Raw genomic sequence first — 21,229 nt, 5'->3', positions numbered from 1 at the left:
TATGATTTATTCTAACAGACAGAAGCAGAAATCTGTTATACTCTTTTAATTACTGTGTCTTTATAATATTATGGTAGACAGAATCCTAAGATGACCCTCAGTGATCTTTGCTCTTATATAATCACTTCTTCCTGAGTGTAGACAAAGCCACTGAGGAGATGTCACTCCTGCGATTGTGTTACAATTTATGGCAAAAACAAGTTAACAGATGTAATCGAGATCCCAAATCGGTCAAATTTAAGATAGACAGATTATCTGATGAGCTTGACCTAGTGAAGGTGAGTTCCTTGGAGGGACTGAGGACTTCCTGGAGAGATGTGAAGTGCAGGAGGGTTTCCATGCAGGGCGATCCTCCTCTGCTGGCTGGAGGAAGCATGCAGTGGGAACATGGGAGGCCTCTAGGAGCAGCGAGAGGCCCCTGGCTGACAGCCAGCAAGAAAACAGAGATCTCAGTCCTACAGTCACAAGGAACTGAACTCAGCTGACAACCTGAGGAAACTTGAGAGGATGTTCTTCCCCAGAACCTCCAGAAAGAAACCCAGCCTAATTTCAGCCTGTGAGGCCCTGAGAAGAAGACCCAGCGAATCCAGGCCTGAACTTCTGATCTGTGGACACTGCAAGAAAATAAATCATTCTTATTTTACGCCGCTAATGCTTGCAGTAATTTAGTATGCAGCAATAGAAAGTTAATACAAATAAAATGGAGAAGGCTTTGGAGTGGGGACAAGAAGGAAACGGTGGGAGAGGGATGCCTGTATGCTGATATGGTTGACGCCTGTATGGTTGAATTGGGTCTACCATTCCTCATCTAATTAGCTATGGTCTATTAAGGTGCATAGCTACACACAAATATTGGTACTACGTTCAATTCAGAGGAAGAAGATATTGCATTCTTGAGAGTAGACAAGAACACCCTGAATTTGGGGTCACTGTATCATAAGTCATATTATCAGGTCTCTCTAGGAAGGCTTAGAGGAAGATTTCCAGGATACACTTGTGACAACATTGAAGGCTTCCTTCTTCCCCAAAGGGACCCGATCTCCCCTCAGTCAAGAAGCTCCAAGTCTCTGAACTGGATGCCAGGTTATAAATTCCCCCTATACTGACTCCATCAGGCTTCCGTCCTCAGAACTATTGAGTTTATCAGTAAAAGATAGACTCATGGGAGTCTAGGCATTTATTCTCTTATTTGATATAAATCAGTTAATGTGCAGGAACAAAACAGACTTTGAAGAAAGAAAGTCACAGTTGACACAGGAAAACACTTTCAACATCCTCATGAGTCATCATGGGTGTTCTGCTGGGAGGACTTGATAGGAGGCTTTCCTCCTCATGGGCTAGTGCAGATCCAGGGGAAATGTCATCAAGTCCTCCATTCGGAGTGTAGCAGCTGGGGCTGCTGATTCGTTAGGCCTCCTGCAGCTGGAGATGCAAGTAGTGCATTTTCATGGCCACCACAGGTGCCCTTAGTTTAGCATTCTTCAGAGCCAGAATCCAACAAGCCACAGAAGCTCTGAGTATTTCCCTTTCCTCAGTCACCCACATAAATGGCTTCAGGGCCTTCTGGGGAAGGCCTGGAGGAAGATTTACAGCATACACTGGTGGCAGCATTGAAGGCTTCACTCTTCCTCAAGGGATCCAATCTTCCCTCACTCAAGAAGCTCCAGGTATCTGAACCGGATGCCAGGTCATAAATTCCCACTATGGTGACTCCATCAGGTCTCTGTCCTCAGAACTAGAGCTTTTCTAATTATTACTAAGTTGATTTCTTAGTAGATTTCCCATCCATTACATTCCCAGACACCTCACAATGATTCGAATGATTAGTAACCACCACATATCCCTGCCTCTCAAGGAAATCCCTCCCGCCTTATCTCTAGATGGCCAAGTCCCATGGCCTGTCCTCTACTCTTCCAGAACCCTGTTGTTCTCACTGACAGCGGGGAGGGCAAATCCATGCAGCATCTCCCGCCATGACCTCCAGCCTGCAGAGGATGGGTGCCACAGGACCTTTACACGCATGCCGCTGTTCTCCTCACCTGTGCATTTCTTAACGTCTTGGTAAGGAGAATGTCTCTGGATCTTCCTTGATGGGAGCTAAAGGAACAAAGGTAAATAATGCTATGGGACCCACTGAGAACTGGGGCTGTGGAAGAGTGGCCACTGAAGTAATAGACAGATGCAGCTATTGCCAGATACTCAGTGCCAGAGCAGGGAGGGAGAGGGAAGAAATACAGACCTCACCTTCCTCTCACTTCCAGGCTCCATCAGGTGCCCTCCATTGCTAAACCTAACTGGAAGTGTGCATGCAGGGGAGCCAGGAATGCATTCTAGAAGGGACGAGCCCCGAGTGGCATGAGACAGGATGGAAATGAGCGGACAGTGGATCTGTGGGAAGAAGGAGGGGATGTCATGGGGAAACAAAAGGAGAATACTAGCTAATAACGCTAGGTGACACTAATATTCCAAAGTCTGTGCTCATATTCAGAAAAAAAAGCTCAGCATAAAGCACTAACCCAGGAGTCAAGATATTGTACTTTCAACTGTGGTTCCAACAGCTGTATTATAAAGGGCCAGTTTATTTCATGCCTTCCTAATTTGACCTAAAGTGCCAGGTGGCATTGGGGCTGGCACAGCCTTGCTCGATTATGTGTTGAAGATTATACAGAGACTGCCAGGCTGAGGGAAGATGCAAGAGAATAGAAGAGATGCTCTCAGGGAACAAGAGACCACATGGTCCCAGAGTCAGGGGCAGCATCAGCCACTGTCAGCTGCTCATTTTCCCAAAGCCCACAAGCCTCAGCCACGCTTTGCTTCTGCAAGACGCTTCTTCACCTTTTCAATAAACCTGCCTGAATTTAAACTGACGGGGATTTAATTCTCCTTCATCATAAATGAAATTCTTCACCGCAATAATCTCCAATGAATTTTGGGCACAGCAGGCAGGCCCATTTCTGCTTCTGTTCCACTATCTCCCCTGTAGGTTGAAAAGGAGGAGGTACTGAATTACCTCCAAATGTTCCTCTGGCTCTGATATTCTGTTATTCTGGTTCCTTTTCAGCTACTTTGTTTTTGGTAGCATGTATCCTAAGGCATCCAGTTGAACAACCTTTGTCTACTGTGTCCAGGCATTCCTCGTGGTATTTCAGATAAGACACTCTTGGGTTGCTGAACTCACAACCACTGAACCAATTCTATGACCATCTGTTTCATGGCCACATGTTTGCTCATTTTATATGTATATAAAGGGAGGGGACAGACAGCAAACTTGCGTGTTATAAATTGTATCATCTTAAAAAGGAAGCAAGGCAACACTTTGCAATAAAACCTTAAGATGCATGAAATTTAAGCCTAATGCAATAAAGAATGCCCATTAAATTCTTATCTAAAGAATGTTTAGAAAATTGTTGTACAAGGACATCATCATTTAAAGTGATATGAAGAAACCTTCTCAGCTAGCATATGGGCTAGATTAGAGAGAGAAATAAACGACCCATCTCTGCCCTGGAAAAACTACTGGTGGCATCTTTCAAAAAAGCTCTCTGTGTTTGAGTATGCACCTTGATCCATAGGCTCACATTTGATCCCAACTGGCGGCTGCTTCATGGCATTAACACTGGATTCCCAACTAGTAAATCTTACCAAGATCTGAGTTTTTACAGATATAATATTATTTTATTTGACCATCCTTATCTACAAGGGCTACCAAGAAGGAACCAAGAATTTATTTACCTCCCCAAGGGAAAAGGTTTTACCAAAGAGACACTTTCTCACCATGACCCCAGGACCCACTATGCCCTGTTCACTTGAGTGCCCTTTGTGGCCTGACAGAAGCTCATGCTGGTCACAGGATTCCTTATATGATTAACCTCCTTCCTGAATCCCAACTTCATGGTGGTGGTGATGACAGGTGTCCTGTATCCCATGTTCATGTCCCTGAAGTCATCAGCCTGTCTCCAGTTAGAAAAAATTACATGTATATAGACAGGCCTCTTTGGAAGGGGCAAAAGCTTTCTCATCTTCGTACATTAATGCATGGAATGTACAATAGTATAAACACTTTGGGGAAAATATCTGGCATATTCTTACAGAACCAAACAACTGCCTATTCTATGACTCAGTCATTCCTAAGCATTTATCCAAGAGAAACTAAAACATATGTCCAGAAAATGATTTATACAAGAATGTTCATAGCAGTTTTATTCATAATATGAAAAACTGGAAACATTCAAGTATCTGTCAATACAAGAATGGACCAATAAACTGTGATACATTCATTCCATGGAATGGCTAAAGGAACAAACTGTTGACACATAAAACAACATGGATGAATCTCAAAAACATTTTGAGTGCAACAGAAGCCATATGCAAAAGAGTGTGAGAAAAAAGATAAATAATAATGGTTTCAAGAAATGCAGAGCAGGGAGCCCAGAGGCAAAGACCCATAGGACGGCGGGCCGGTCCCAGGCTGTCGATCCTAATTAAGAAACTTCTGCTGGATTTTGCCCAGTTCCATTTCCAAACTATTTTGGGTCATTGACTTCTTTATCCCTTCCATGTTCCCTCATTTTGAACTAGAATCACTGTAGCTGTTATTCTATGTCTGTCCCGTCATTTCACGTTAGGGGCAGATAAGCTGTTTGTTCAGTTTCACAGGTCGACGGAGGTAAGGGAATTATGTCAAAGACCTGTACTTTGTGGACACCCTCAGAAGCCTCACCACACCTGGTGTGGATGTTTTAGATGGAATTTTAAACTTTTGATCTGATGTGATCTACATGACATTTTTCATGTTGAACTAATGCTTTAAATGACATGAAATTTGGGAACCTTAGGGGAGACGGTGAATGCATTTTGCAGTTGGGGGAATGTGAGTGTCCTACTGTGGTAGATGGAATTTCTGAAATGGTCCCCACATATGTCACACCCTTGTCTCTAAAGCCTGTTAAGGTGATGAGACAGCATTCCTGTGATTATGATGTTATATGCCAGTTATATGACTTTGAGCTGGTGAGGTTACCTGCATGAACTGGATCTAATCACACCACTCCATACATGACAGAGCTTTCTGTGGCTGGTTGGAGAAGATGAAGCCACAGAAGGCAGGAGCTTGAGAAGGACTCCATGAGTTGTTATTGGTTGATGATGGAAAAGACAGGTAAGGAGGAAAGCAGGTTGCCTCTGGAGTCAGAGTGTCTCCTGGCTGACAGTCAGCAAAGACAAAGGGCCCTCAGTCCCCCACAAACAAGAATAGGAACTCTTTCAATATCTGTAGTGAACTTGGAAAAATAGCTTGAGCTCTAGAAAAAAAACACAGCCAGCCCATTTCTGAATTTTAGCCTCACATGACTCTGATCAGAGAACCCAGCCGCTTCATTCCAGACTTCTGTGGTTTCAAACCACTGGTTTGTGGTAATGTGATAATTGGCAGCAAGAGAAAACTAGTACAGGTGCCTGTCTCTCCTCTTGAATTTCAATTTCAGATACATGGATGCTAATTCCTCTCAGAGAAAAAATCAATCAATCCATCAATCAATCAATCAATCAATGAAAGAACTACAGTAAAAATATTGCCCTCAACTTTATGTGGCTGTTTCAGAGCCCTTGCCACCTGAAGAAGACAATGAGGGGTATTTCAGGCATGCGAGGAGTGTGGCTTTACTGTTATCAATCACATTTCTGAAAGAATAAAAATGGTTCAGGTCAGGCCGTGGTTCATGTCTGTAATCCTAGCACTTTGGGAGGCTAAGGCAGGTGGATCACTTGAGGTCAAGAGTTAGAGACCAACCTGGCCAACATGGAGAAACCATGTCTCTACTAAAAATACAAAAATTAGCCAGGCGTGGTGGCAGGTGCCTGTAATCGCAGCTACTCAGGAGGCTGAGGCAGGAGAATCACTTGAACTCAGGAGGTGGAGGTTGCAGTGAGCTAGATCACGCCATTACATTCCAGCCTGAGGAACAGAGCAAAATCTCCATCTCAAAAAATAAATAAATAAATAAATAAATAAAGATGGTTCGTTACTTAACTCCACATATTATTATGTGAAAATGTATCATCTCGATTTTCATAGCAGATTTTTAAAAATTCATTTTCTTGTGCTCACCAGACAAGGTTTGGTAGCAAATACCAGTCACCAGCACAGATGAACCAATTTCAAGGAGAGCCATAAACAAGACTACTGTTATGTTCCCCAAAAAACATCCCTAGAATGCAATCTCTTCTCTGCTTGTCACAAAACAAACACAATAGTCCACTATATAAAGTCCCAAACACATGAAAATGTAAATATAATGAAGTCTGCTTTCCAAATATTTATTCTATTCAGACCCAGTCATGGGGACCAGGGATTAGGAAATGACTACAAAGAGGTTCAAGGGAATTTGGGGAAGCGATAAAATGTGCTAAAGTAGAACTCTGCTGATGGCTGCACAATTCTATATATCACCTTAAGTCATTGAGTTGTACGTGGACAATGGCTGACTTTTATAACAAGTAATTCTTTAAACGAACTTTTGGGTTTCTATTCCAACATGGAAAGAGCTAGGCAGTCATCACTTGTCCTCACAGCTAGAAAAAAGCTGAACAAACTGAAAGTCAACCCTTCTAGGGTGGACCAGAGAATTGAGGTCACAGGGAAAACGGCCACCCTAAAAATGAGAAAGACAGGCTAACACACAAGGAGTCAGAGCTCACAGGGAAGAGAAGCTACTGGGGACAGCAAGTGGGAGGAGCACTTAAATGGTATTGACAGATTACTAGAAGCTGAGGGTGGCCTGGCTAGAGCATTAAAAACTCCTTGAAAACCAGACTAAGGGGGAATCTCACACGTTTCCAAGTTTTACTACAATGGTCTCAACCAGGTTCTCATGATGAAGTTCCGAAAACCCCCCTGACGTCTGGCACTATCAACTTCAGGACTTACATTAAGCTACAGTAACCCAAATAGTGTGAAGTTGGTGAAAAGAGAAAACACACACAAATAGATTCGTGGAAAAGGAATACAGAGCCCAGAAACAGGCCTACAGACAGTCCACTGATCGTCCATGAAGGTTTAGAGACAATTTAAAACAGCAAAGACAGCCTTTCCAACTAGTGGTGCTAGAACAGCTGGACAAACACATGCAAAAAAAAAAAATAATAATAAATCCAGGTATGCATGTTATACCCTTTATAAAATAAATCTTACATGTAAATGTAAGATGCAAAACCATAAGAATCCTAGGAGATAACATAAGAGAAAATCTTGGGGATCTTGGGTTGGATGATGGCTTCTTAGATACAAAACCAAAAGCACAATCTACTAATGAAAAAAATTAAGTTGAGCCTCATTAAAATTAAAAACTTCTGCTCTGTGAAAGACACTGTCAAGAGAATGGAAAAAGCAAGTCACAGACTGGCAGAAAATATTTACAAAATAATCTGATGGAAAAACTGCTGTCCAAAATATATGAAGAATTCTGAGAACTAAACAACACAAAGAAAAAAAAATAGGTGAAAGATCTGAACACCTCATTAATAAGATATACAGATGGCAAATATGCATATGAAAAAGACACTCAAAATCATTTGTCGTTAGGGAATTGCATATTAAAACAACAATGAGATATCACTGTATTAGAATGGCTAAAATTCAAAAAGGTGAACACACCAAATGCTGTCAAAGATGAGGAGCAACCAGAACTTTCCATCGCTAGTGGAAATCAAAAGGGTACTGTCACTTTGGAAAACAAGTTCACTCAAAATCCTGCACAGAAGTACTTACAGCAATTTTATTCATAATTGCCAAAACTTGGAAGTACCCAAGATGTCTTTCACCAAGTGAATGAATAAAGAAACTGTTGTAGCCATACAACGAAATATGATTCACTGATTTTAAAAAACAAGCTATCAAGCCATGAAAAGACATGGAGGAACTTAAAGTACATAATGCTAGAAAGAAGCCAGTCTGGAAACCCACATCCTGTACCATTCCAACTCTAGGACATTCTTGGAAAGTCAAAAAGAAGCAGTAAAATGATGAGTGGTTGTCAGGGGTGGAGGAGAGGAGGACGCATGAAATGGTGACGCACAGGGAATTTTCAGCAGTGAAACTATTTCGCATGACGCTGTATTGGGGATTTAGGACATTATGTAATTGCCAAAACCCATAATCTGTGAAACTCAAAGAATGAACTCTAATGTAAACTATGGACTTTAGGGGATAATGATGTATCAACAGTGGTTCATCAATTGTAACCAATGGACCACACTCATAAAACATACTAATAGGAGAAATTGTGTGGAGGACAGGGGAGCCTAGGAGAACCCTCTGTACTATCCACTCAAGTTTTCCACAAACCTAGAACTGTTCTAAAAAAAATTCTATTAATTTGTTTTAATTAGGATGCAGCAGCCCCATATCAAGGTTTTGGTGGCATCCTGTAACTGGGTGGTTAGTACTTGGCATTGAAGTGCACCAACCTGGAGTCAGAGCAGTTGGAGATTTCAAGGCCTGTGCCATTTACCTCTAACCCTGCGGTGCCCCTGGAATACAGATAGCAGATCGGTTAAGGAGAAGCAGCCTCAGCAATCTAGACAGTGCAGGTTTCTGGTAAGGAGAGGTAAAAACCATCTGGGTGGGCAGAACTTGGTGAAGACTAGAAACCACTGAGACTCAGCAGCTGCCCCAGTGGCACCCACAAATCAAAGGAGGGGGCTGGGAAGAGCTAAGGGCTACTGGATGAGCTCTCTGCCTGCAAGACAGAAGCAGATCTGGAGATTTTGGTAAATAATGTAGGTTTCAGTACAGTGTGATCTCTTCAAAAAAGTAGAGAGAACAAAAAGGAAAGAAAAAGAGCATGAGAGAGAAAGGAAAAGAAGAAAGGAAGAAAGGAAAGAAGGGAGGGAGGGAGGGAAGGAGGAAGAAAGGGAGGGAGGGTGGGTGGGAGGGAGGCAGGGAAAGAATAAAGAGAAAGAGAGTTGGAGGGAAGTAGGGAAGGAAGGAAGGAAGGAAGGAAGGAAGGAAGGAAGGAAGGAAGGAAATGAACAAATTTACATGAAGATGAGAACAGTGGGGAAACTTACACCACCAATATTTTCCATTAACAGGAACACACTAACCAGTTATTAGAGAAAGATGCGCTACTGTAAAACCATATACTGTTTCCATGGGGTACAACCCCTTCCTCCTCCTCTGAAATTCACACATTCTGTCTCTGGCCCACTGTTGCCAGAGACACTGAGTCTTGTCTTTGGATAAGTTCTGGTGCTCACAAGAACGAGATGAGACAATGCATCCCAGAACACCAGGCCACGAACTTCCCTGTTGCTCCCTGTCCACTCCAGAAGCTACCCAGCTGCAGCTGGGGACCTCAGCCCCTGGGTCTGATGTCATCCATTTGCCTTTCTCACTGGACTTCTCTCCTTGCACTGGCTCCTACTCCCCCAGGACCTGTGGGCGACCACATGAGGAGAACACAAACGGGCCATGCCCCTTTCTTTCTCCCCCTCTCAATGCCTGCAGTGGTGGGTTCCGTGGGGTACTGACCTGAGATTTACTCATTGTGGGGCCTCTAGCCCAGAGCAGGGCCTGGTACCTAATAGTCACCCCATGAATGCTCAGTGAAAGAAGGTGTCCACCACAAGGTCCTGGGAAACCAAGAATTCCACTGTGGCCCATAAATTCTAAGTCCTACAGGATTCTGGAATGGGAGGTGGGAAAGGCCTTCAAAAGTGGCCACTTTTAACCCATTATACTGGCAACTGAGCCATGTTTCCCCATCCTAGACACATCCAGAGGGCACTGCCTAAAACGAGACACATCTCCCCACCCAGGACAGTGTAGGAGCCTTAGCCTGGGGGATGCAGGTGGACAGGGAGGGGGTGAGCCATCAAAGCTGAAGAGCAGAAAGCAGGTGAAAGGGGACAGTAGGGTGGAAACAGAGAGAAATGGGGGCAGAGAATGGGGGGTGAGAGGGGAAGAGCGGGGAGAGGGATGCAGATCTAGCTAGTAAGGAAAAGTCCTGGAGAGAACACTGTCCTCTCCTGAAGTAAAATCACTTCCACCTGACCACGGCACTGCAGGCCATGGGCGGCACAGGCTGTGGATATTTGTTCATTCATTTAACAAATACGTATTTAATATCTGTTTCATGCCAGGCAAGGCCCTGCAATGTTTAGGGACCTTGACATCTTCCCTTCACATCTGAGTTATAATAGAAAGAGGACTCTCTGACCCCACCGAGCTGGCAATGCCTCGGGATTTTTACCTGTTGGATCTCGCAGCTCTTGATGTCGGCCCACACCATGTGAGGCTGCTCTTGGTGCACCGAATGGGGAAGTTTCTACATCAGGGCCTCGGAGAGTCCACTGGAAGCCCTGGACAGTGGGAGTCAGTGGCATCCCCAGTGTGGAGGCCAAGAGCACACAGCACTGAAGCTCCAGATACCCTCAGGAGGACGGCAAGGGACAATTGGCTGGTGAGAGCCTGGGTCACCAGGAACCTTCGCCTGGGTCTAAACAGGATTTGCCTTCAGATTGCCTGTGAGATAAAAGAGAGAAATCAAGGTTAACATTGAGATTTGGGGCTTCGGCAACTTGAAGGATGGAGCTGCCATTTACGGAGACTGGGAAGACCCAGGGAAGAGCAGGTTGAAAGGTGGTGGGAACTAGAGGTGGTTGGGTTTCTGTCATATGTAATCAACAGTCCTGACCAGCCTGGGCAACATAGTAAGACCCCGTCTTGGAAAATAAAAAATGAAAAATAAGCTGAGCATGGTGGCACACACTTGTAGTCCCAGCTACTCGGGAGGCTGAGGCAGGAGGATTCCTTAGGCTGAGGCAGGAGGATTCCTTGAGCCTTGAGTTAGAGGTTAGTGAGCTATGATGGCACCACTGTACTCCAGCCCGGCGGGAAAAAAAATAGAGTCCTGACTAAATACTAGAGTAGCCAGGGAAGTTTTCACAAAGTAATATTTGAGGCAGATCTTAGTGAACAAGAATTCCATTATTTTTGTTAGGGAATTAAGAGAGTGTGGGTGTTGTTAGTTAATGCTTATTGAACTATCTTTGGAATCTCATCTACTGGTCTAGCTGGTCTATCTGTACACATATATTGTATATGCTGCCTCACTGAGCTTTCGCTAGGTTATACTACAGTAACAAAAGCCCCAAAATCTTAGCAGCTACACATACGAAGGTTTATTTTTCATTGACATTTCCTTTCATGGCAGGTTGACTGTGACTCTACTCTATACAGCTATTTTATTTGTTAGATGGTGAAAACTGTGATACTTGGAGATTGTTGAATATGGTATTAGTATGTTCATTCATTCATTCTTTTAAGAAATATTTATTCAATATCTGTTTCATGCCAGGCAAGGTCAAGTACTGAGAATACAGTGGTGAATAAAAGAGACAAAATCTCTAATTGCCGGTAGCTTATATTGAAAATCAGATTGAACACATACAAAATCATCATAATAACAACAATGAATACTATATTCATAAATAACAGCCGTAAGAGATTTTAGTAAATCTTTTAAATTAGAAAAACATAAAAATTATTAAAACTAAAATGGCCAGGTGTGATGGCTCATGCTTGTAATCCCAACACTTTGGGATGCCAAGGTGGGAGGATCATTTCAGCCCAGGAGTTTGAAACCAGTCTGGGCACTACAGGAAAACCCTGTCTACAAAAAGGAGAAAATTAGCCAGGCATAGTGGTGCATGCCTGTAGACCCAGCTACTAAGGAGGCTGAGGTGGGAGGACTGCTTGAGCCTGAGAGATCAAGGCTGCAGAGAGCCATGATCATACCACTGCACTCCAGCCTGGGCAACAGAGCGAGACACTGTCTCAAGAAAAAAAAAAAAATTATTCTATGTAGTCCTAAAACTATTATGTAGAATACTATTGTTTATATCACATCACGTGAGCCCTTTAAATGGCTTAACACTTATTTAGGGATGATCCATAAAGTTTTCTCGCTAATTAAGTATACCTAAGAACAATTAAGTATAAAAGTGTTACTGCCTTGACAGGAAGATTGTAAAAACTTCAAAAAGACAAATAAATAAAAGAGTCAAAACTGCAGCTCTGTGAGGCTCAAATAACATCTAATTGAAGTCACAGTGAACCTCTAGCAATCATTCTGAACACCATATAATTCACTTAATACATTTTGCCTGAACGCCCAACACATCTGAATTACCAACACCTGTATGTAGCCAAGAAACTGACAATCATTTATAAATTATCACCTATGACTCCATCTGCTCTATGCACTTATTTTTTAAATTTTATTCATTTATTTATTATTTTTATCTTTTGTAGAGACAGGATCTCACTATGTTACCCAGGTTGGTCCAGAAACAGAAACAGACCCACACTAATTTCATAAATCAGATGACCATACAGTCAATCGATTTATGAAGAAAAGTGCCACATGGTGCAGAAGGAAAAGGATGGTCTTTTCAATAAATGGTCCTGGATAAAGCAGACACATCCATGTAGTAAAAAGTGAATCATAGCCAGGTGGGGTGGCTCACACCTGTAATTCCAGCACTCTGGGAGGCTGAAGCGGGCAGATTACTTGAGCCCAAGAGTTCGAGACCAACCTGGGAAACATGTTGCAACCCCATCTCTACAAAAAATACGAAAATTAGCCAGGCATGGTGGCACATGCCTATAGTCGCAGCTACTCAGGAGGCTGAGGTGGGAGGATCACTTGAGCCAGGAGATGGAGGTTGAGTGAGCTGAGATCCTGCCACCACACTCTAGCCTGGGCAATAGAGTGAGGCCCTGTCTGAAAAAAAAAAAATGCAAAAACTGAAATAAAATTGTTATAAGGTTAACACAGAAAAATGTGTTCATACTCTTAGGTTAGGCATTGATTTCTTAAAGATGACATGAAAAGCAGTAACCATAAAGGAAAAGATTGATAAAGTATAATTTCATTAAAATTAAGAATCTCAGGCCGGGTGCAGTGGCTCATGCCTGTAATCCCAATCCTTTGGGAGGCCGAAGCAGGTGTATCACTTGAGCCTAGGAATTCCAGACCAGCCTATGCAATGTGGCAAAACCCCATCTCTACTAAAAATACAGAAAACAGCTGAGTGTGGTGGTACTCCCCTGTAGGTCCCAGCTACTTGGGGGCTGAGGCAGGGGGATCATCTGAGCCTTGTGAGGTCAAGGTTGCAGTGAGCTGTGATTGTGCCACTGCACTCCAGCCTGGGCAATGGAGTGAGATCCTGTTTCAAAAAGAAAAAAAACAGAGAATCTCCATTCATGAAAAAACAACATAAAAGAGTGAAAACGCAAGCTACAGATTGAAAAAAGGGAAATGCAATACATATAAATCCTAGAAAGGAGGCATATCCAGAATAAAGTATTACAAATCAACAGGAAAACAAGCATATCAATGAAAACTGGATAAAAAGGTTTAACAGGCATGTCACAAAAGAAGACACATAAATGGCAATAAAAGATACTCAATCTCAATGAAACCACACTGATATATTACTGCACCCCTACTAGAATGGCAAAATGATTTTTAACTGACAGGCATCAGCGAGGATGTGGGGTAACCAGAATATCCTTGCTAAATGGTACAACCACTTTGGGAAAATGTTCAACAATATGTAATACTAAAGTTTTATCATTCATATACCTCTAAAACCAACAATGCCACTCCAAAAATATACTCCAGTCTAGTAATGTTCTATTTCTTGATCTGTGGTGGTTCACTTGGTCAAAATTCATTACTTTTTTTTTTTTTTTTTTTGAGATAGGCTCTCACTCTGCCATCCAGGTCGGAGTGCACTGCCATGATCACGGCTCACTGCAATCTCAACCTTCCGGGCTCTGGTGATCCTCCCACCTCAGCCTACCGGGTAGCTGGGACTACAGGCACACACCACCACACACAGCTAACTTTTGTATTTTTAGTAGAGATAGGGTTTTGCCACATTGCCGAGGCTAGTGTGGAAATCCTGGGCTCAAGTGATCTACCCACCTTGGCGTCCCAAAGTGCTGGGATTACAGGTGTGATCTACTGCGCCCGGGCCCCCTGCACATTTAAAATTGTGAACTTCTTCTGTATACTTCAGTAACTTTTCCAAGATTTCTTTGACGCAAAGTTATCAGAAATCTTAAAGCCAGCATTTCAGAATAGAAAAAAATAGCTTCTGGTTCACTAGTGAAATTTTACTAATAAAATTTAAAAACAAAAAGAAAGCTACTAACGCATATCAGCTCCAAACAGATTAAACACTACCAGCAGATCTTTAACTTCGTGAAGCACTGGGATTCATTCCTTTGGCAAAGAAAGGATGAACAACACCGTAACCCAAAGAAAAGGTACCACTGCCAGAAAAGACTTCTTTTCGAAAGCAGCTCTAGCAGCAAAAGACAGAAGGAAAGCAAGGAAACTAGGCCAAACGTCTTGGTTAACTCTTCGGTGAAAGGACGCCACATGAGATGATGATCTAAGAAGCCAGAAAGACAGACAGACAGGCACAGGGAAACCACAGCAACTCCTCGGAGTGCAAACAGCAACCCCACAATCCAACCTAGCCGAAATCCTGCGGTTCATTTGAGGCTTGCCCCGCTAGTCAGGAGGTGATTCAGTGATGGCTACAAACGCTCCTCATGTGCATCCTGGACCTGGCACACCTGGCTTGCCCATCACCAGCCTGGAGACACCGCCAGGAGCAGAAGCCCGGAGGCCAGTAAAGACCCCAACTTTGCAAGTCAGGGGCGCGAGCGCTCTCGCCTCTCAGGCCCGCAGAGGGAACCGATTTCCGGCCTCGAGGGTGGGGTGCGGAGTCAGTGTCCTCTACAGGATATAGGAGGACGTGCCCCCGAAGCTGCTCCGTCCCTCCACCCCCTGGGATGCCACAGAACACCCGCCAGCGAGTTTCTTCCCCAGCGCCCACGAGAGCTGGGCTGAGGGCGGCAGCGGCAGGCGAAGAATCCAGCGCGGGGAACTCAGCCCCCGGCGGTGCACGACCCCCCACACCCCCCACCTCCCACCCGCCCCCGCGCTCGCGCAACAAAACTTGCGACGGCCGCGCCTCGACCCAGGTGTGCGCCCGCCGGTCCCGGATTCACCGCCCGTCCAGCCTGGCGCGGCGCCCTCACCTGAGAAACGCTGGGTGGACTTCGCCGTAACTTCCCATCCAGACGGCGGCCCGCAGCCGCGCCGCCGCGCCTCGGCCCAGCTCCTGGCGCCGCAGGTTGCCAGTCCCGCGTTCCCAAAAGCACCGCGCGCAGAAGCTCACTCAGTCTCGGGATCCTCACCTACCCATCCCAGTACCGCCGCTGTCTCAACCGCCACCCAACCCCTCGCCTGTGCCTGCGCCTGCGCCTGCGCCTGCAGCCCACTGGCTCCTCAGGGTCCGGATGGGCCGCGTCAGGAGAACCCAAGGCGCAGGCGCGGCGGGGCCTTAAAGGGACTCGGCGGCCTCTACTGCACAACAGGTTCGAGCAGGTTAGGGGCCCTGCGGGCCGAGAAAAGGAGTAACCTAGGTGATGCACCGAGTGCAGCTGGGACGGGGAATCCCTCTCTGCCCTCCGCGTCTCTCTCAAAGCACCAGCCCTCGACCCTCCAAATCGCTGATTTCCCCGGCCACTTGAACCGCCCCTGCCAGGTTAAAGAAGCAGAAGACACACCCCCTCGGAGGCCCGGAGCGTCCCCGCGTGCCCACACGGATTTTATTTTTTTCTGAAAAGATGGTACATTTACATGGTTCGAAATTCAAATAGGGCCAGGCGTGAGCCCTGGAGTTCGAGACCAGCCTGGACGAAAAAGAAAGAGCCCCGTATCTATTAAAAAAAAAAAATCAAATAGTACAGAAAATTGTAAAGTTAAAATAGGCATCTTTTCCATTCCTGTCTCCCAGTCTCACCCTGTAGGCAATCTGTGGGATGCTGTTCCTGTGAATCCTTCCAGGGATATTTTATGTACGTTTTCGCTTTTTTTATTTTTATTTTTTTTTTTGAGATAGAGTCTTGCTCTCGTTGCCCAGGATGGAGTGCAATGGCATGATCTTGGCTTCCTGCAACCTCCACCTCCCAAGTTCAAGCTATTGTCCTGCCTTAGCCTCCCAAATAGCTGGGATTACAGGTGCCCACCATCCTGCCTGGCTAATTGTTGTATTTTTAGTAGAGACGGGGTTTCACCATGTTGGCAAGGCTGGTCTAGAACTCCTGACCTCGAGTCTTGCTCTGTCACCCTTGCTGGAGTGCAGTGGCACAATCTCAGCTCACTGCAACCTCTGCCTCCCAGGATCAAGCGATTCTCCTGCCCCAGCCTCCCGAGTAGCTAGGACTACAGGCGTGTGCCACCACACCCAGCCTCCCTTCCCATTTGGCACGTGCCAGCCACGTGCCAAGTCCCAGGCCCCAAACTGGTTAGGGGTCAGGAAGAGCGTTCCAAAGAGCTCACACAGAAGTTCAATCCTATCTCTCCACCAAGGTGGGCGACACCATGGGGCTGCAATGCCTGCTTTTGTGCTTTTCAGGCACCTCCCCCAGTGCTGCCAACTGCCCTTCTGAAGGGCCTGTGTTTGCCACCCTCTGCCTTCGCACTAATTTGCTATTTCTAATCTGCTCTGGGCCAGGAGAACAGATAAAACTAGGGCCCTCAATGGTTTAGAGTTTTATAGTTCACCAAGTGCTCAAGGCACATTATCTTCTGTGAACCTCACCCCAGGCCCTAGGGAAAGACAGATCAGGACGAGCCACGTGACTGTGCAGGTCATTTAAGTTTTCATTCTCCTACCTCTAAAATGCTGAAAATAACAGGAACGACTCCATAGGACTGGTGTGAGGATTAAATATCCATGGACTGCTTAGAACAGGTCCAGCATATAGTGGCAATAACAATATTAATGAGAGCTAACATTCAGTGAGCACTTAGCATGTTCCAAAATCTGTTCTGTTCTAAGTGCTATATATAGAACAGCTTATTTGATCCTCAAAAGAAAGCTACATTTTTAAGTATCATTACTTCCCCTATCCTACAGATGAGAAAAATGAGGCATGGAGAAGTGATTTTCTAAAGATCACAAAACTGGGCTGGGCACAGTGGCTCAACCTGTAATCCCAGCACTTTGGGTGGCCGAAGCGGGTGGATCACCTGAAGGCAAGAGTTCCAGACCAGCCTGGCCAACATGGTGAAACCCCCGTCTCTACTAAAAATACAAAAATTAGCCAGACATGGTGGTGCACGCCTGTAATTCCAGCTACTCGGGAGGCTGAGGCAGGAGAATTGCTTGAACCCAGGAGGCGGAGGTTGCAGTGAGCTGAGATCATGTCACTGCAATCCAGCCTAGGGGACAGAGTGAGACTCCATCTTAAAAATAAATAGCCCAGGCATGGTGGCTCACGCCTGTAATCCCAGCACTTTAGAAGGCCCAGGCGGGAGGATCACCTGAGGTCGGGAGTTCAAGACCAGCCTGACCAACATGGAGAAACCCCATCTCTACTAAAACTAAGAATTAGCCGGGGGTGTTGGTGCATGCCTGTAATCCCAGCTACTCGGAGGCTAAGGTGAGAATTGCTTAAACCTGGGAGGCAGAGGATGCAGTGAGCCGAGATCGCTCCACTGCACTCCAGCCTGGGCCACAGAGTGAAACTCCGTCTCAAAAGAAAAAAAAAAAAAAAATTAGCCAGGCAAGGTGGCGGACGCCTGTAGTCCCAGCTACTCGGGAGGCTGAGGCAGGAGAATGGCACGAACCCGGGAGGCGGAGCTTGCAGTGAGCCGAGATCTCGCCACTGCACTCCAGCCTGGGGGACAGAGCGAGACTGCATCCCAAAAATAAATAAATGTTAATAGGCACATGTAGCTAGTGGCGACCATATTAGTGCAGAGTCACACGCATAAGGCTCGACTGGTGTTATGCCCAAACGCTGACTTATTCTTCAGTAGCCCCCAGCTCAGACCTCCCCAGCACCTGCTCAGGAGCTTCTTGGCTCTCCGCAGCCGCTGCACCTCGCGCTGGGCGTCCTCGTGGACCTGCATGGTGCCCTCGGTCTTGTCCCGCAGGCGCTACATCTGTTCCTCTAGGCCTACGTTTGAGAGCCAGGATTCCACTCCCCAATGTGCTCTCACCACCCTCTGAGCCCTCACCTCCCTGGGGTCCCGGACAACTCCAATCAAAGCCCCCACCCACCCACCGATGCCAGACAAACCCCCAGGCACACTCCTCTCCTGGGTTCTGACACCACCCCGAGGGCTCCCAGGCTCCTCCCCCTTGCATCCTGGTTCCACTCTCAGACTCCTCCCTACCCTGGCTCTGCCCCTAGTTCCCAAGCTCTGATTTCCCTTGCTAGACCTTTTCCCAGGGTCCTGGCTCTGCATGACCAGGGACCTGTCTCCCTCTCTACCAGGACCCTAACACTGCCGCAGCCTCCTCCTTCCACCAGCTGCCCAAGCACCCACCCCCAGCTGCCCAAGCACCCCCACTTCTGGGCTCGGCTTCACCACAGAGCTCTCGGCCACCTCCTTGGGGATCCTGACACTCTCAGACACTATTTCTCAGGGCTCTGGCTGCACCCCAGGGCGCTCAGACTCCTCCGCCGGACCTCCCCGGACCCGTCCCCGCCCCCACCCGGAGGGCGCGAGCCCCTCCCCCCGGGCCTCTGGCTGCACCCAGAACGCTCAAGCCCCTTCCTACCTGGACCTGCAGCTGGTGCTTGTGCAAGGCGGAGTGGATCAGGGCGAGGGCGGAGGAGTCTGAGCAGGCCGGGGAGGGGCCTCGGCGGGGCGAACGGCCTCTGCCTGGCGAGTAGCACCGCGGTGGGGACGGGGTCCGCTGGCCCCAGAGTCCCCGCAGGCTGCGCTCCGACGCATCCACGGTGCACTTGGAGCCGCTCAGCTGGACGCCGCTCTCAGCCTCGGACAGGACGGCCTGAGGGTAGAGGAGGGAGGCAGAAGGAGGCCGCAGAGCTAGGAACCGTGGGGTTGGCTGGGCAAAGACGCCTAGGCGAGGCTGGGGGCCGCCTCATCCCAAATGCTGCCTCCTACAAGAAGCCTTCCTGATTTCACCTCCTCCACTAACTCAGCCCTCAGCTCGCCGCTGAGGCCTCCCGTTTATTGCAAAGACATCATTTGGCATTGCTCACAGGTGGGCTCCGAAAGGGCCGTGCCTCCCCTCTGAGACTGGGGGCTCCCCAGGGCAGGGGCCAGGTGAGTTAGCAGGGGTGCTGAGCAGCTACAGCCTGGGTCCCAGGCCCCCACCCATTTGCAGTTCAGTCCCAGGCCACCGAAAGGCGTGGCGAGGGAGCCCGGGGTTTCCTGGCAGGGCCCTGTCTTCCCACCTCTCTGGGCTCACACCTGTGCCAGGTCCCTTAGGCTCTGCTGTAGCTCCTCTCCGTCCTCTGTCTCCAGGGCCGCCTGCTCCTGTAGCCACAGGGATTCCTGGAGTGCGGTGAGGGAGACAAAGGGTAGTCGGGGTTCTGTCTTATCTGAAACCTCCCCTTCCCCTCCCTCCCTGGCCCACCACTGACCAGGTGGCCTCTGAAGCCATGTCCATAGGCCAGCCACCTGGTAGACCCCACAGCAGGCCCGAGACCCTCACTGAACAGACTAGGCCCAGAGAAGAGCTGTGTTCTGCCCCAGGTCACACAGTTGATGGGAGGAGACCCGGACCTAGAACCCAGGTCAGGCCCCAGACAGGGGGGTGACCAAACCAGGCTGTACCCCCGAAGAGTGAGTGTCCCACTGGTCGGGGGAGGGGGTGAGGGGAAGCTGGGTTGCCAGAGGCAGCATCTGGACCTGGAGACAGTGGATGGGAGTTCAAGTCCCGACTCTCCCGCTTACTGGCTCTGAGACTGGACAAGCATTTCCCCTCTTGGGCCTCAGTTTCCCCATCTGTGTCATGAGGATTGCGCTACAGGGCTGCTGTGAGGAAGAAATGGGATGGAGGAGGTGAGTGTGCTTACCACAAAGCCTGCACACCTGTGAGGGCTGAACCTGCGTGTGAGTGGGACGCTGGGGGTGGCCCAGGCAGCCCAGCCCTAAGCCTGTGTCCATGGATCTGTCCGGTACCCCATCCCACACTGCCACATCTCAGGGGCAGCTGCAGCTCACCAGGGCCTCAAGCTTCTTGGTGAGGTCCTTGTTGACCTGATCCTTCTCCAGATTCTGCTTCTGAAGACGCTCCACTGCCAGGCCCAGCTCTGTCACTCTGGAGTTGGGGGAACAGCAGAGGTGAGTGGGGGACCACCCCTGCCTCTCAAATCCACTAGTTCTGTGTCCACCATGCTTCTCCAAACCCGAGGCAGGGACCCTAACATCCACCTCCCTGGCTGTGTGACCTTAGGCAAGTCCCAGCTCCTCTCCAGACCTCACACCTCTCATCTGTGAAGTGGGAATGAGGTTGCCACCAGCTTTATCTCATGGGAAAGCACTTGAGGACTTGTCCAGGTGGCAGGAATAAGGGGCAAAAGTTTTTGTTTTTTTTTTTGAGACAGAATCTCGCTCTGTCATTCAGGCCGGAGTACAGCGATGTGATCCTGGCTCACTGCAACCTCTGCATTCTGGGTTCAAGCGATTCTCCTGACTCAGCCTCCCTGGTAGCTGGGATTACAGGCACCTGCCACCACGCCCGGCTAATTTTTGTATTTTTAGTAGAGACGGGGTTTCACCTGTCAGGCAGGCTGGTCTTGCGCTCCTGACCTCAGGTGATCCCCCCACCTGACAAAGTGCTGGGATTACAGGTGTGAGCCACCGCACCCGGCCACAAGTTCTGTCATTGGAGGCTAAGCTGTTTATGATATACACTGGGCAAGCGCCTTCGGAACCTCAGTGGGGTGCCTGGGAAAACTGGCTGAGGTCACAGAGGAAGGCCTGACCCTAGTGAACAGATGCTCCCTTCTCCCCAACTCTCCAGTTTTACCTTCTGCAGGGACACCTGCCTCGTGTGGCACCCACCAGGTACCCACCTGGCACTGAGGTGAGCCTTGTCCAGGTCGCTTTGCATCTGCTGCTGGGCCAGGTCCCTTCTCGTGAAGCACCTTGTCCTGCAGCTGCTCCTCCAGCTGGGTCTGCAGCAGGGCCTGCTTCTTCAGGGCTGCCTCGACCCTTCTCTCTGCCAGCTGCAGGCCCATGCTCAGTCCCAGGCCGACCTTCTGGACAGCTCCCCTCCCAGCTGCAGCAGGTCCCTGGGGGAGAGAGCACAGGATGGGGATGGGATGGGGCTCACTCCCAACTACAAATTAAAACTACGCTGGGGCCAGGTGTGG

General features: G+C 47.8%; 1 protein-coding gene and 1 pseudogene across 15 annotated transcripts in view, besides 4 other annotated features; both read right to left on the bottom strand.

The window, feature by feature from the left end:
* The window catches only part of NBPF3 (NBPF member 3), a 48,112-nt gene extending 29,431 nt beyond the window's left edge, over positions 1–18,681 (bottom strand). For 10 of the 15 annotated variants that reach the window (NR_046176.4, NM_001377495.1, NM_001377492.1 and 7 more), the window contains exons 1-2: positions 15,122–15,333; positions 10,251–10,522 (exon numbers count right to left, since the gene is read on the bottom strand). Coding sequence is in view for 7 of the 15 variants with exons in the window: in NM_001256416.4 (NP_001243345.1) it covers positions 10,251–10,383 (133 nt within the window). In the remaining 8 variants the exon portion in view is untranslated. Of the gene's footprint in view, positions 1–2,039; positions 2,098–10,250; positions 10,523–15,121; positions 15,334–17,937; positions 18,232–18,660 lie in introns of those variants that run through there. The other 5 variants (NM_001377493.1, NM_001330381.3, XM_047432038.1 and 2 more) reach the window with 3 other exon arrangements.
* Positions 14,420–14,714: a silencer, noted in NCBI's record as "tiled region #4165; K562 Repressive DNase matched - State 4:PromP". NCBI's record gives its function as "represses a minimal TATA promoter and a strong SV40 promoter by Sharpr-MPRA in K562 cells {active_cell/tissue: K562}" and the evidence as "EXISTENCE:reporter gene assay evidence [ECO:0000049][PMID:27701403]".
* Positions 14,689–15,199: an enhancer, noted in NCBI's record as "H3K4me1 hESC enhancer chr1:21766764-21767274 (GRCh37/hg19 assembly coordinates)". NCBI's record gives its function as "activates a minimal SCP1, AML or CMV promoter by ChIP-STARR-seq in primed H9 embryonic stem cells {active_cell/tissue: H9 hESC(primed)}" and the evidence as "EXISTENCE:reporter gene assay evidence [ECO:0000049][PMID:30033119]".
* Positions 15,680–15,729: a silencer, noted in NCBI's record as "silent region_381". NCBI's record gives its function as "represses an Ori minimal core promoter by ATAC-STARR-seq in GM12878 lymphoblastoid cells {active_cell/tissue: GM12878}" and the evidence as "EXISTENCE:reporter gene assay evidence [ECO:0000049][PMID:35858748]".
* Positions 18,644–21,150, bottom strand: CROCCP5 (CROCC pseudogene 5; annotated as a pseudogene).
* Positions 19,280–19,574: a silencer, noted in NCBI's record as "tiled region #1847; HepG2 Repressive non-DNase unmatched - State 20:ReprD". NCBI's record gives its function as "represses a minimal TATA promoter and a strong SV40 promoter by Sharpr-MPRA in HepG2 cells {active_cell/tissue: HepG2}" and the evidence as "EXISTENCE:reporter gene assay evidence [ECO:0000049][PMID:27701403]".

This window comes from Homo sapiens, chromosome 1 (assembly GCF_000001405.40).
Source record: "Homo sapiens chromosome 1, GRCh38.p14 Primary Assembly".
Lineage (NCBI taxonomy): Eukaryota > Metazoa > Chordata > Mammalia > Primates > Hominidae > Homo > Homo sapiens.
The sequence above is the reverse complement of the archived record's forward strand: the minus strand, read 5'-3'. Positions and strand labels throughout refer to the sequence as shown.